Raw genomic sequence first — 16073 nt, forward strand, 5'->3', positions numbered from 1 at the left:
CTGGGCATGGTGGCTCACACCTGTAATCCCAGCTACTTGGGAGGCTGAGGCAGGAGAATCGCTTGAACCCAGGAGGCGGGGAGGCTGCAGTGAGCTAAGATGTCACCACTGCACTCAAGCCTTTGCGACAGAGTGAGAGTCCGTCTCAAAAAAAAAAAAAAAAGTTTTATAAATCTGGAGTTACAGTGCATAAACAAAATTAACTGTTCCCTGCAAAGTCTTTATTTCATAATTCACAACTATGCACTAAACACACTGCAGACTCATTCAACAGATATTTACTGATTGTCTACTATGTATAAGAGAATCACCTGGACTGAAGAGGAGGACAGAAAAAAAAAGGCCTTTTCAGAGATCTCAGTTGCACCCTGGGAAGTGATCACATTTATAAATTTAATTAAGACATTAGGGAATAGGAGACAAAATAAAGAGAAGTAGAGTGCCAGACCCCATTCAGTCGTGCTAACACCTTATCCTTATTTGATTTTGTGAAGCTCTCAGTTTCATGGTTTCGCCTACAAGTTTCATGCAACAAATGCATATTTTTAATTTAAATTAGCTCTGCTTTGAATTTTTTGTAACTATTGGATACATTTAGAGTTAAACATCTCGATAAAACATTAAAGGTGTCACATAATCCAAAAGCTCTCATTTTAGAGGTGAAAAAATTAAGGCCCTTGAAGACTCACTCAACCCTACACAATCAGTAGCAAAGCCACAACTGAAATCAAACCCATTTCTATGTCTACTATCTTTGATACCTCTGGCGTGGAAAAGGAAGGGGCCACAAAGCACATTGGTATCAATCAGACAGGATCAAGAGTATCTCTAATAATCTCCCAACTCAATTAAATGCCTATTATAACCTACATCAAATTTTTATTACTAAAATATTACCTTCATAAAATGTTTACAGAAGACCAGGAAAATACAAAGACCCAACATATCTATCCTATGTTCTACCAAGATTCAAATCTGTCTATATGTAATGATCTGGACTTCCTCTATACATATCCACATCAATCTCTAAGTGCTGAACATGGTACACTTATTATTTATGTAACTGGCAATTATTGGTTTTCAAACTCTTTTGACCATAGCCCACAGTAAAATTACCTTTTGAATTGCAATCCAGTATATACATATATGTTTGAGTGTGTGTACACAGAAAGAGGCAACTTAAAAGTTTCTCAAAGCAATATTTATCCTTATTATAGTATGAAACACTCTGCAATTTGCTATTCCATTCTCTCTCAATGTTGCAGAAAATTGTTTTACCAAGTACTAAGCTAAAGTCACAACCCACTAATGGGTAGCAACTCACAATTTGAAAAACACTAACTTTGAAGACCGGTTTTCAAGATTAAGAAATTTTTCAAAGCCAGGCACAGTGGTGCACACTTGTAGTCCCAGCAACTCAGGAACCCGAGGTGAGAGGATCGCTTGAGCCCAGGAGTTCAAGGCTGCAGTGAGCTATGATCACATCACTGCATTCCAGCCTGGGCGACAGAGCGAGACCCCGCCTCTGGAAAAAGAAACAAAGAAATTTTTCAAGCCACCAGAATCCCAGCCTCCCCAGGAAGTAGAGATAGGGCAGTCATAAATTAAATATACCGAGACATTATGAAAACACAAACCTAGATATTTATCTTTTGCTTTTAATCTTTAAGAAATAATTTTAGCAAAAGCTCAATACTTTAGAAATGCAAAGTTTATATGGAGTGGTATTACATTAGATAACAATGGTGACCAGAAAGAGTTCTAAGTGACTAATTTGCTTTAGGGAAATATTAGGCATAGGGAAGAATCTGGCCTGTAATTGTAAACTTATGAGCTCAGTATTTCAATATTTAAATTATTTGTAAGTTAAATTTAAATAAATTTAAGTAATTTTTCTTCAAGCAAAATGATAAGGATAAAATTATGTAATTCATTGCACTACCATTCTTTTGAGGATATCTTTAGATAACCTATCTAAATATGGAAAACTGAATACATCTCTAAACTGTGTTCTCTGGAGGCAAATAAAGACAAAGTTTAATAATAAGCTTTCTAAGCAGATTATCTGTTTTAGTATTTTTACATAATATATTATTTTTAGATTAATTCTACAGTCCTAAAATGATTGTAGCCTACTAGACTGACAAATGGCTGATTTAAACACCCCCCTAAAATGCCCAGTTTCTAATATTACCTGAGAATATATACAGACATGTATTTTTCTATTCAAACACCAAAACTGAAAGCTGCGTCTATGCATAAACACAAAACACGAGGCTCTCTGTACATATAGAAGAGGTTCCAGTTGTGTACATGCATATGCGTGTGTGTACACCAAGTCAAAAGTCAAAAACTTAAATATAAAATTTTAAGTAATGCAAATTTATATATTGTTGGCTTCAAAATAGCACAAATGAGAGTCACTGGTAAGATATACTGTCAATAAAATAAGATGTTTTTAATGAAAAGTCACTCAAAGTACAATTCAAAAATGCTTAGGTTAATGAACTAAAGCAAATGTAGATGAAGCATAATAATGGATTGTCTATTATTAATAGGTGATATATCTACCTCATGGGAGTGTTGTGAGAATTAAATTAATAGATGCAAAGCACTTAAAACAGAGTCTAGCTTAGAGTACATACACCTTAAGTCTTATTTAGTAGTAGTCAACTCAGATGTTTTTAACAGCAATAATATGTAACTAAACTCCAGAAATGATATTATTCTTAACTGCCTTTTTACACTTGTTTCTCACTTACTCTGGCATCCTTGTCTCCGACAAAACAAATGACACGGAGAGATGGGACCCATCGTTTAAATTCATTCATCCAGTTGTGTAAAGTAGACTTTGGAACTAAAACCATGTGAGGTCCAGGAATATTTCGGTAGTGTTTCAGGTAACCAAGCAAAGCAATTGTTTGTAAAGTTTTCCCAAGGCCCTGCATTATCATCACAAGGAAAAAAATCCATGAACATTTTTTCTGTAAGGAAACATTTTGTTAGGAACAACATAACAAAAGATCTTTGTCCACTATCTCGCAAAGGCAATTATGTTTCTACCAATGAAAAGTAAAAATACCAAATACCTTTTTTTAAAGAAGATAACCAAATCATTCCAATTCAGTATTGTACTTACCGTGAGCACAAACAGAAACCAATAACTTGCAGTCAGAATGTTGCTCAACAAAGCAACTTTCTATTTAGAACATTTTCCTCCTAAAGGAGCAAGCAATCTACTATATAATTTTTCTTCTTGTTCTGAAGTTAGGAATTTTCTGTGTGTTTGTTTTATAAAGACCCGCTTCCTTTGCCAGCCTGCTTAGATACTGGTCTTTCTTTCCTATTGTTCCTAACATTATTACAGCCCAGATATTAAATATTCAGACTATGTGTCTCAAGGGGCTTGTGGCTCTGTACTTGCATCTCACACTCTTAAGAACCTTAGGAACCACAAAACAGAACTTTGCAGCCAGAAAGAACCTGAGAGAGATCACCAACTCCAGAGGACTTTTTAAAAAATAATATATTCAATATCTATGAACCCATACCTAACCCATAAGAAAGGGAACTAAGTCCTTTTTCGGCCTCTTAAAACTGCTTTCGGTTTTATCTCTGAGCAAGATATATACTTCTTTTTATAAATGTCTGCTTAAAGCTATTTTTTTATTGTATCCTATCTGATATGTCACTTAATGAGACAACTTTTATGAATACTATACATCAAAACCTTAAAATGTTTATACTCCTTAACCCAGTAATTCTACTTCTAGGAATCCTACGGAAATAATCTGAGAGGTGCACAAAAACTAAATTACAAGAGTCTTATAGTGGCATTATTTACACTACACATCGGGCAATCCAAATGAACAGCAATAAGAGAGAAGTTGAATAAAATTATGGTACCGCCCAAGGATTATTATGCAATAATTAATTATGTTCGGAAAATGTCTTAATTACATGGAACATATGTATGAATGTAAATAAATCAGAATGCCAAATTATATATACAATATGATTTCAACTATACAAAATAAGTACATCCAGAAGAAAAAGACTAAAATGAAATATGCCAAAATGTTAGCTGTGGTTACTTCTAAGTAGCAGAATTATAACTTAATTTTAATTATTCATTTTTTTCCAAATTTTCTATACTCCTTAAAAGTGTCTATTTTTTAGTAATTAAAACATATCTGGTATCGGCTGGGTGCAGTGGCTCACACCTGTAATCCCAGCACTTTGGGAGACCGAGGCAGATGGATCACCTGAAGTCAGGAGTTTGAGAACAGCCTGACCAACATGGTGAAACCCCATCTCTACTAAAAATACAAAATTAGCCAGGCGTGGTGGTGGGCGCCTGTAATCCCAGCTACCTGGGAGGCTGGGGGAGGAGAACCGCTTGAACCCGGGAGGTGGAGGTTGCAGTAAGCAATGATCACGCCATTGCACTCCAGCCTGGACAACAAGAGCAAAACTCCATCTCAAAAAAAAATTATATATATATATTAAAAAAAGTAAGTATATATTATATATATTTATATATTATATATTATATATATAATACATATATCTGATATCAGCACAAATTCATCACTAAAGATCAGATCCTTCATGTTTAGACAGGCTGAAGCCAAGAGCTGCTTGGGGCAAATAATCCTGGTCCTTCCATTGTCCAATTAACCAAGCTCCTCCCCCTCTGAGCTGACAACAGTCTTCAAACTAGAATACCTAAATATAAGGAGCTACAGACCCTTGCTTTAAGGGATCCTCTGCCACACACCTAACAGTTGCTCAACCAGGGATGAGTACTTATGCGACTGACTACCAACTATACTAGACGCCATAGGGCACGTATCATCATGTGGCTCTTCTGGATAATAGTGATTACAAGTATGGTTTCAGAGTCACATAAATATGAGTATCATTGAGTTATATGGATTTAGAACTTTCCCTGCCCTCTCTTAAATCGCATTTTATTAATTTGGTCTTAAAATACAAATATGGGGCCAGGCACAGTGGCTCACGCCTGTAATCCCAGCACTTTGGGAGGCCAAGGCGGGAGGATCACGAGGTCAGGAGATCGAGACCATCGTGAAACCCCGTCTCTACTAAAAAAATACAAAAAATTAGCTGGGCGCGGTGGCGGGCGCCTGTAGTCCCAGCTACTCGGGAGGCTGAGGCAGGAGAATGGCATGAACCCAGAAGGAGGAGATTGCAGTGAGCCGAGATCATGCCACTGCACTCCAGCCTGGGCGACAGAGCGAGACTCCGTCTCAAAAAAAAAAAAGCCTTCATGTATTCCCCCTTTAGCTGATGAATTAGCATCTTATATGCCTTACTTTTTCCTGTTCAGTTATTTTATTTACACATTTATAACTCCTTCACTGATTTCCAAAGCCCCACCATGCACTGTACTGTATCAAGATTCAACATTACTCTTTATTCGTTCCTTATTCCACCTATGCACTTTTTGATTGTTCACAAGTCAAAATATTGATAATCATTCACACATGCATATATTCAGGCAGTCATTTACATATTGTTTGGTTTGTATACCCCACCTTATTCCCAAAAGGATTTCAGGTAGCCTACAATGAAAACATGGAACATAAATTAATGGCAAAATAGAAATAAAGAGACGACAAGGAAAGTAAGAAAGACAAGTAGATAAAGAATAGGAAAAGACAGAAGGACACACAGGGCAGACCATTAAAGGTTACATAAGGCCAGGGTGGGGGTGGCTCACACCTGTAATCCCAGCACTCTGGGAGGCCGAAGCAGGTGGATCACAAGGTCAGGAGTTCAAGACCAGCCTGGCCAAAACGGTGAAACCCCATCTCTACTAAAAATACAAAAAAATTAGCCGGACGTGGTGGCAGGCGCCTGTAACCCCAGCTATTCAGGAGACTGAGACAGAGAATTGCTTGAACCTGGGAGGTGGAGGTGGCAGTGAGCTGAGATCGTGCCACTGCACTCCAGTCTGGGTGACAGAGCGAGACTCCATCTCAAAAAATTTTAAAAAAAAAGTTACATAAAGGCATCATTTGGGCATCCATCTTGACTCTGTGCTTCCTGGAAGCCAAAATGCAAACAAAAACAAAAGTACAGAGAAGGTTTTTGGACCATTTGAGGAAAGCTCAGTAAGAGTTTTATGGCCTGTGAAAGTCTGTGTTCTAGCGGTGACTTAACGAAACAATTCTAGCTGGGTGCTGTGGCTCACACCTGTAATCCCAACACTTCGGGAGGTCGAGGTGGGAGGACTGCTTGAGCCCAGGAGTTCAAAATCAGTGTGGGTGACGTGGCGAGACCTGTCTCTACTAAAAATAAAAATAAAAATTAGCCCAGTGTGGTGGGCACGTGCCTGGAGTCGCAGCTACTCAGGAGGCTGAGGCAGGAGGATCGCTTGAACCCAGGAAGTCGAGGGTACAGTGAGCCGAGATTGCACCACTGCACTCAAGCCTGGAAACACAAAGAGATCCTCTCTCAAAAAAATAATAATAATTCTAAGACTACAAAATACCTTTTACATGATAACAACTTTTAAAAAGCCTCCAGGCATCAGGGGGGCAGGTAAGCTCAGGTTTTTCAAATTTACATAAAAATCATTGATAACTGAGAATGTGTTTTTAGCTACCAATTCCTTACCATTTCATCAGCCAAAATGCCATTGACTCCATTTTCATATAAAGAGATCAACCAATTCAGTCCTCGAATCTGATAATCTCTCAGTGGCCCCCCTTTCACATCTGGTGAAAAAATGCAAGGACATTTCATACTTTCATTAACATACTCAAGTAAAATTTTTCTAAAACTAAATTGAAAAAGAACTCACCAATGTGATGAAGTACTTACATGAAGGTGACACCTCAAATCTAATACACACATTAGATGTTTTCCGACTCTCAGACAGTAGCTCTTCATCTTCTTCTTGCTCTGTGCGCCTATGGCGGTAGCTGAAATTAAAAAAGGAAATCCCTTCATATTCGACCTAAATGATAAGGTATCAATTAAATCAGTGTACATGGCTATTATCTTTTATAGAAAAAGAATGAGTTGTCCAAGGTCTTGCTTAGAAATCAGTAGAACCAGCCTACATTTTTACTGATCAGCCTCTAGTGAGAAAAAAATATAGTTGTCTTCAAAACATAATTATAATGGCAATATTTTTTGTCACATGAAGGTATACTGAACAATGAAGAGCGAAGGGGTGCATGAAGGGATCAAGGGAGGACAGGAGGAAGAAAAGGTAGGAGAAAGGAAAGAAAGTAGAGAGAGAGGTGCCAACATACTCTCCAGCAGAAATTAAGCTCTGCTTTTCATCTTTCTTTATTCGGGGACGTCCCAATTTCATGTTCAGTGGAGATGTTGGAGATTTCTGTGCTGAAGGCTGAATGAAATGTGCAAAAAGTTCTGTCTGCTTCAGTAAAAATTCAAATCTCTTTGCTCGGTCGGCTTTCTAATTTGCAAAACAAAAGAAAAGTAAGGACTTTCCTTTTCATTCCTTCAAAGTTATTTAACAAATACTTACTTTGAACAACATTCTTAGCACTTGAAACATTAATCCATTCAATTCTCTTAAGAAACCTATGACGTAATTACAAGTATCATCTCCATTGTAACTACATGATACTGAAGCACAGAGAGGGTAAGTAATTTGCCCAACCTTGCACAGCTAATAAGCAGCAGAATTTGAAAATGTATTTTCAAATAGTTTGAAGGGAAGAAAAATTATCTGACAGACAGTAAATTCCCCAATAAGAAATACCCTTCTTAAAGAGTCATAATCATAAAGCAAATCCTCTTTCCAAAACATCATTTTATTAAATAAAATAGTAACAAAATTAAGCATCAAATATATAACATATCCCAAATATTGAAATATAAATTAACTATGATATATATACCATAAACTGAACTCTTAAGAATTTCCAAGTTGTATCCAGAAATAACTTAAATCTTAAAATACAGTATCATCTTGTCTCAAAATATTTTCAGTGTCATGGTATAGTAATGTAATAAACACTCCTCTCTTCACTCACAGGGATCTAGAAAACTGTATTTTGTGCTAGTAGCGTATAAACTTTCTCCCCAAAGTAAGCAGAATTTGGGAAAAATATATAAACATATGCACATATATGTGAAATAGTTTATTAACTATTAAAAGTTGATATGTATTCTAATTTCTCAATAAATTGTAAAAGGTCAGGGAACGTGTACCATATACAGGCAATAAAACTTTGTTTCACTAAAAAAATCTTAAAAGATCAAAAGATATATACATCATTCTAGATAAAGGAAAAAATAAAGACTATTTATTTATTCAAAGTCACTTTCCAACCACAGAGTAGAGAATACTTGATTGCTAATGAAGGATGCATAATTAATAACCCAGAAAACTTACAGAAGAGTTCATTAACATAAACATAAGAGTTAGATAAATTCAGACTACAAGCTGGAAGGAGGCCAAAAACTTTCCATTTTATATTATCCTCACTGGAATGTTATTTTTAGAGTTGTTAAAACATTGCCTACCTACATTAGATGTGGCCTTAAACATTAAGTCTTATAAAATAGCTATCAACAACCAAAAAATATATTTCATCTATACTTATTTTTATAATATTACTGCAAAAACAACCCCTCAGAGGAAAAAAAAATCCATTTCAACCACCTGTTAAATTCTTGAAAGATCCAAGGTTATAAGAGTTTAGTTAAAATTAAAGCTAAAATATGTATTTTAGTAACTAAAAATTAAATAATTAAATGTATTATAGCAAGCAATATGTAAGTATAACTAAGATTATGCTGCTTAAATATGTGATATCTTCATGCATTGGACAAATATTCTTCCCTTTAAAGTGTATTGACATATTACACATTTCATTAATGTGTAGCATTTATTCATATGTCCAAAGAAGGAGAAAGAAACAAAAATACGTCAATCTGGCTTTGTGACTGGATTTCTCTCAGGTCACAAAGCCACAGTGGTATTACCACTGATATTTTCACCTCATAAATAAATATTTCTAGCTTAAAGCACTTTATTATGGGACAGAGAGCACCGAACCAAAATGAGATGTGACTTCTAGTCCTAACTATGACATATAGCTTCCCTGATCCTTTATTTCCTCATCTGAAAATGAGGAGGTTAATTTATTCAACAGAAAATATTGTGATAGATTGTATATTAAATTATTTTCCAATTCTAAAATCAATGATTCTCTATGCATTATATATATACATGTATTTTTTCATCTTTAACATCTCAACTATAAAAATTAATTACAGCATTCACTATCCTATCCAAGACTACATTTACCATTTTCTCTTCATATTCTGGGTCCATTTCCTTTTCAGATTTAGGCGCTTTAGCAGCAAGTTTGAGTTGAAATGAAGAAACGTTTTTCTAGAATTTCAAAGAAAATAAATGTCACCAAATTGCAAAGCAAGGTTCTTAAACTGGTCAATGCTCTCATTAGAAGAAGGCGGAAAGTAATTACATAACTAAATATATAAATCAATGTGGGACATGTATGGACCAATGATGAGAGCATGTCACAAAACAAGGCTTATGATTAATCCAGTTCTGTACACCTGAGGTCCAATAAAAAAAATCTGAAAAATTGTGAATGCCAAAGAAATATTAATTGGAATAAAACCCAAAAGGCAAGACACTGAGCTTTCTCATCCATTCTTTAATTTATAGTGTAAGAAAATGTGTAAACATTAAATAAGAGATTTTAAAATCTAGAAAAGGCTAATATCAACCACAAACCAAATAATTCAAAGAAAGTAAATATTAATTCTAAGAAACACTCCTTTATGTCATGGAAATACGCCACACTTTCAGAAAAAAAAACTGTGGTTTCTGTTCCTAAAACGATATTTTTAAAATTGTTTTCATAGTATTATAAGAATATTTAATTTTTTATGTAATGCAATGTGATCACATATACTTAATATAATAGTACAGTTTTAAACTTTTGGCTTATGTTAATTTTCTCTAACTGGGAAGAAAACTACTTTAAACTATTTATATTGCATAAACATCTTGTAGAAGCAATTTGTCAAGGCTACTTAACTATTAATGTTTGATATTTTTAAATTGTAATTTAGCGAAAACTAACATCAATCAATAACTTAATATAGAGATTATCTGGGGAAGGGGGTTATCTCATGCACCCTATCCTTTGTAAAGACAAGCCTGTACTGGCAAATATAAATACATATATAGAATAAGCCTCCTTCCCTATAAGAAACCAAGAAATAAAATAATAAAAACACAAATCTACCCACCAGAACCAAAGATGAGAGCATTTCAGTTTTAACACATACTTTGCATAAGAGAAAACACAAATTTGTTCGTGAAAACTATCATGGCTTTTGTCAACCTATTTATGAAAACTTAGGTCAAAAATCAACAGAATGTGACCTTAAACATAAGAAAAATATGGCCCCCATTATGTCTTCCAATATTTACTAAAATTTCTATTTTGAGGAAATCCAAACTGAGATTATGGAATTTGACCTTGTCCAGACTCTTACTTTGTAGCACTGATCAGATATCATTCAGTTACACTAACCCAAATAATAACCATCTTGATTTACAGCATCTGATACGTACACATCTATATGGAATGTTTTGAATGTAATCCTGGATGGATGAGAATAGAAAACTGCTAAAGAGCCCCTCAAACTCACACTTTCAGACTGCCATATATAATATAAATCATATTTATTTTCAAAGCAACAAGAAAAATTGGGTATCAAATCCATACGTTTATCATTCATTCCTTGAAAGGTTATATGAAGTGCAGTTTTCCAGTATCAAAACAATGAAAATTACTTTGCCTCATACGCACAAATATATATAATAATGTGGGAAGTACACTTACAGAAAATTAAAGCTTTAATCCTAGAAAAACATTTTACCCATTACTTTTTTGCTTACCTTGCGGTAGACTACCATCAAAATCTAATTATATGCTAATTAAAATCCTAATCTTGAGCAGGGCTATTAAAAGCTGTGGGTAATTACTTAATTGGCACTATCTTCCACAACAAATTTTAAAATACCTACCTTCTAAACCTTCTCTCGTGTGTGTGTGTGTGTGTGTGTGTGTGTGTGTGTATTCTCAAAACTACATTTTTTTCATACAAGAAAAGATGAAAAGTGACTAAGAGACTCTAATGAATTCCTTTGGATTTTGTTATCTGAGTCTAGGTGCCATGAGAATGCAGCACAAGGTCAACAAAATGGCTTGTTTTAAAGACCATGACCTTTTTCTTGACGTTTTCATGTCTACAGTGTTGGGTAATCCAACCGTCACTTAAACCAACTAAATTCAACAACCAGAAAGTAAGCAAAAACACCTTTGAGTAGGTAAATGTCACAGGTCAATTCACTAATTCTCATCTACTGTATTCATCATGAAAGCGCTCTCATTCAGAAACCTATTTTCTTTTTATTTGGTAGACAATTCCACCAAGTTTGAAAATCTGGCTTCCCATGTCACCGAGAATACAAGCAACAGTAAATGACATGGAAAGATCACTAGATGAAGGCACTCTACAAGAAGACACGGCAGAAACCAAGGACGAAAATGTCTTCCACTGCAGTAGCATCACTGATTCTTGGTGTGCACGTGTCATTATTTCCCTCTCCCTGTTTTATCACTGACACTTTTGTATTTTACAGTGGTTTTCAAATGAGTTTATGGTTTTGTTACACCTATAATCTTTATCATAAACTAACATATTATTTCTGGTGAAACTAGAGGTGTTTAAAAAGTGATCGCTAACAGCCTGGCAATTAAGGAAGAAGACAGAAAATTTTTATTTATTTATTTATTTTGAGACGGAGTCTCACTCTGTTGCTCAGGTTGGAGTGCAGTGGTGGGATCTCGGCTCACTGCAACCTGAGCCTTCCGGGTTCAAGCGATTCTCCTGCCTCAGCCTCCCAAGTAGCTGGGATTACAGGTGCCTGCCACCACACTTGGCTAATTTTTTTTTTTTGGTATTTTTAGTAGAGACGGGGTTTCACCATATTGGCCAGGCTGGTTTCGAACTCCTGACCTCAAGTGATCTACCCGCCTCGGCCTCCCAAAGTGCTAGGATTACAGGCGCGAGCCACCGCGCCCGGCTGGAAAAATTATTTTTAAAAATCAACACAACACTGCAAGAGTCTGGTAGGTGGTTACTTAATTGAGAGGGAACAACCTGCGGGATTTCAGGTGCCTTTGTGTCACTGTCAAAGTACACTAACTGATGGCCATGAAGAAGAGGTTAATCTGCACTTTTAGTATGCAATTTAAAGTGTCAAGGTAGTATGTAATGTATTTCATTTTTTAAGGAAAAATTAAAAATAAAAATGGATATCCAGGAAGTTCCTGACATACAGCACCTCATTTCCCTGTCCTGGGTGGACAAATGAAGTACTGGTAGGGCAATTTCTAATGAGGCAAGAGTTGACAAATATGTAGGCATCAACTCAGTGTTTATATTATATAGCTTTTTTATTGGTCTCCCGTTTTTTCACAATACAAAATTTTATACAAAATTCAAAAATTTATACAATCTGGAAATTCGACAACCTCTCCTGCCATACAAAAGGCAGTTTGGCACTCACATTTGCCCAGTCCAGGGAATAAAAGGCACACAGACATTTCCGAATTTCACAACATTTGATTTATATTGATGCTTGGTATTACACCCACTTTTAACCAACAATATTGTCTTACTAATCCAAGTACCGCGTAGATCTTACAATGTGTATGTTTTCTACGGTTTTCATTTAGCACTACAATTGTCCTTCTGTTTAGTCAACCTTGTAATAGTAAAATATGTCACAGAAGCAACTGCTAAATTTAAAATTACTCTTCTCATTTAAGGCGAAAGGTGTTCATTTTCCTCAAAAGCTTTTCATTTGGTCGTATAGTATCATATAATGATTCAGACAAAGCCACTTGAGATCTCTAAAGCATAATTACCCACCTTTTTAAAATTGCGATATGACTACTCGTAAATAGGAAAAAATCCACACATAAACCATTAGTTATGCAATTTTATCATACATCAAAAATGCTTATGCCCCATCCTATTTTTATGTCAATTTTTCAACGTTTTATAGTTTTATTTGCATGTCTCGGGCCACACGAAATGTGCCTTATGGAGATAATACATATTTTCTGGATTGGCTTTAATATGTGTCAGAGCAGTTCCCTTACGTTAGAAGCAGCTCATCTTGGCGACGCTGAGTTTTTTAAAAATTAAAGGAGAAAAAAAAAAAAAACCTGTGTGTGTCCAGGAGCCAGCAGCGCCCACTAGGAGAGGGAGGCGGAAGCCTGGAAAGCTTGGGGCCGGATTGAGGGACCATTGGGGTGGCCCTGGAGTGAAACCCTATACCGTCGGGGGCGGGGCAGAAGAGGGTGAGGGTGCAGATGTTGGAAATTTTCCTAAGCCAGCGTCCACGGTTCCTCAGTTTGGGGGGGCGGGGGGGTACGACGCAGAGAGCTCCTTTCCTCGGGGTGACACCCCCACCTCGGCAGGCGGGGTTCAAACGAACAAGGGATGGTTTTTTTCCTGCCATCCAAAAGACCGACATTGCCAATGAAAGAAAGAAATGTCTTCCCTGTCACCCTCCACCCAGCAACCACCAGCACCTTGAAATTCAAATTACAAAAAAAGCCCCAGCAAAACCCCTTTAGCGCGAGTGTGGGATTGAAGGGCCCAGATTTCCCAGGCAGAGGCCGACGGGAAGGCGGGGGGAGAGGGAGCGAGCGAGAGGAGAGGGAGAGGCGGAGGCTTTTTCCTGCACAGCCCCATCCCCCACCCCGTTACCCGAGTTCCGGGAAGGTGGAGGGGGTCGGGGGCTGTCGAGGGGCTCCCGAGCCCCCAGGCCCCGGGAGAGCGGGCACCCCTCCACCCCGCGCCGCTCCCGCCCGCGCCCAGCCCCGCCCCCGTCCTCCAGGCGGCGAGAAGGAAAGGGGGAGGGGAGCGAACGCCAGGCGGTTCCGCCGCCGACCCCCGCACCCGCCGCCCCTAGCCCCGCAAAGCTCCGCGGGTACCTGTCGGCGCCGAAAGGTCAGGGTTTGGGCCCCTCAGAGGGGCCAGGCACAGGATTTGTCCACCACACACACACCCCCTTCCTATTTACCTCCTTCTTCTTCTCGCCCTTCTCCGTGGCCGCGGTGGCTTCGGTGGCCGCGGCGGCCGCTCCCTCCTCCTGAGAGGTGGACGGCCCGGGCTGCTCGTCCTCTATGACCACGATAGTGGCGGTCGCATCCGCGGCTGCCACGGTGGCTGCCACTGCGGCAGTGTCCTGCTCCATGCCGTGGGAGCGGGAACGAGTAGGGGGACAAGGCAGGGGACGAGGGCTCCTGGGCGGCGGCAGTGGCTGCACTGGAAAGAGCTAGATGGAGCAGGGGTGGGGAATCACTCCGCTTCCAACCCCTTCGCTCAGGCCCCCCCTTCTTTAAATAACCCTCAACCCTGCCCCACTTCCGTCCACCCACCCTACGTCATGGCCTCCCCCCGTCACTCTCCCCCCTTCCTCCACCCCCCCCCCCTCAACGATCGCGAGACTCCCCTTCCCCACCCAGAGCCCGGGCCGGCCCCGCACGACCAACTGTTGCCTGAGTGTGGGGCGCGGACAGGGGTGGAGGCGGGAACCCACAACTCGCGGCCCCCTGAAAATCTCCTTTCCCACACGCCCCCAACAGTGAGCCTGAGCTCCCCTCGCAGATGCGTGCAGAACGAATCCTCTTTCCCTTAAATCTGCTCTTTGTACCTCGGGGCGCTCTCCCCTTCTTGCACAAAGAACTTTTCCTCTGCTCCTAACTGTACTGTAGAAGGTCTTTTTCACCATTTGCAAAGCGCGGAACCCCTCTGGGACTGCCCTTTCCCGGATCCCTAAAGAGGTAGGATTAGCGGTGCTGTTTCCACCTTCCTAAATTCTGCACAAAGAGAAGCACTCCTTGAATCTCTTGATTGCAGCTGCAAACACATTCACTTACAAGGCAAAGTCTGACTCTCAAGTTTTACGTATATTTGCTCTATTTTCACCTCTGGTACCTCTCAGGTAGCCAATGTGCAGGAACACTTCTCTTACCTTCACCACTGCATTTTTAAATTCCTAGGGGACAAGGTTACCCACCGAACCTGGGGCAACATGTGGTAGGCACTCAATATTAGCAATTGAAATGAATTACTGTGATTTTTTGGCACAGGTTCTATTTGCACCTCCATTATTATTTGGTAATAATACAACACATAATATGAATGATCATGGATATAAAATCATTTCGTGATACAGAATCAATCAGTGTCCATCAGCAGGTGAATGGTTAAGGAAAATGTGGTCTGTATACACAATGGAATACTATGTAGCCATAAAAAAGAATGAAATGTCATTTGCAGCAACATAAATGAAACTGATGTTTATTATGTTGCACAAAATAAGCCAGGCACAGAAAGACAAATAACACATGTTCTCACTCATATGTGGGAGCTAAAAAGTTGATCTCATGGAGGTAGAGAGTAGAATGATAGGTACCAGAAGTCTGGGAAGGGTGTGTGGGGTTGAGGCGGATCAATGAAGAGAGGTCAGTTAATGAGTACAAATATACAGTTAGATGGAAGGAATAAGTTATAATGTTCAAAGTAGAGTAGGGTGACTCTACTGAACAAACAATGCAATGTATATTTCGAAATAGCTAGAAGAGAGGACATGAAATGTTCCCAACACATAGAAATGATAAATACTTGAGGCAATGGACACCCTAAATACCCTGTCTTGAGAAGGACCCTTAAGGACAGCAACAGTGGAGGATTTATTTTTCACCATGTTGCAGCTATTGAAAGATAGAATTCCTCTTTCCTTGCATGGGGCTGCAAAGGAGAAAAGCTCAAGAAATATTTGTTGTGTATTGGTGTGTCCCTGCTTTCAAGTCAGTTTTGTTCCACTGTATTTCTCATTGTCAGTGTACATTATTTCAGTTACATCGTGGGTTAAATGCACTTTTGTGAGGAAATCTGGGAAACACATCCCTTTATAACACCTTTTTTTTGTGGGG

At 38.6% G+C, this 16073-nt stretch overlaps 1 protein-coding gene and 1 non-coding gene across 8 annotated transcripts in view; one reads left to right on the forward strand and one right to left on the reverse strand.

Annotated features, from left to right (window-relative positions):
* The window catches only part of SMARCA1 (SNF2 related chromatin remodeling ATPase 1), a 76985-nt gene extending 62536 nt beyond the window's left edge, over nucleotides 1-14449 (reverse strand). For all 7 annotated transcript variants that reach the window (NM_001282875.2, NM_001378264.1, NM_001378263.1 and 4 more), the window contains exons 1-6: nucleotides 14156-14449; nucleotides 9320-9406; nucleotides 7290-7456; nucleotides 6853-6953; nucleotides 6646-6746; nucleotides 2763-2942 (exon numbers count right to left, since the gene is read on the reverse strand). In NM_001282875.2, coding sequence (NP_001269804.1) covers nucleotides 2763-2942; nucleotides 6646-6746; nucleotides 6853-6953; nucleotides 7290-7456; nucleotides 9320-9406; nucleotides 14156-14329 — 810 coding nt within the window. In that variant the 5' untranslated portion in view covers nucleotides 14330-14449. The remainder of the gene's footprint in view (nucleotides 1-2762; nucleotides 2943-6645; nucleotides 6747-6852; nucleotides 6954-7289; nucleotides 7457-9319; nucleotides 9407-14155) is intronic.
* On the forward strand, nucleotides 9535-9606 carry LOC124900503 (small nucleolar RNA SNORD112). The gene has a single exon (XR_007068432.1). It is a non-coding gene; the product is annotated as a small nucleolar RNA SNORD112 (small nucleolar RNA).

The sequence above is a fragment of the Homo sapiens genome, chromosome X (genome assembly GCF_000001405.40).
Source record: "Homo sapiens chromosome X, GRCh38.p14 Primary Assembly".
NCBI classification, from domain to species: Eukaryota; Metazoa; Chordata; class Mammalia; order Primates; family Hominidae; genus Homo; species Homo sapiens.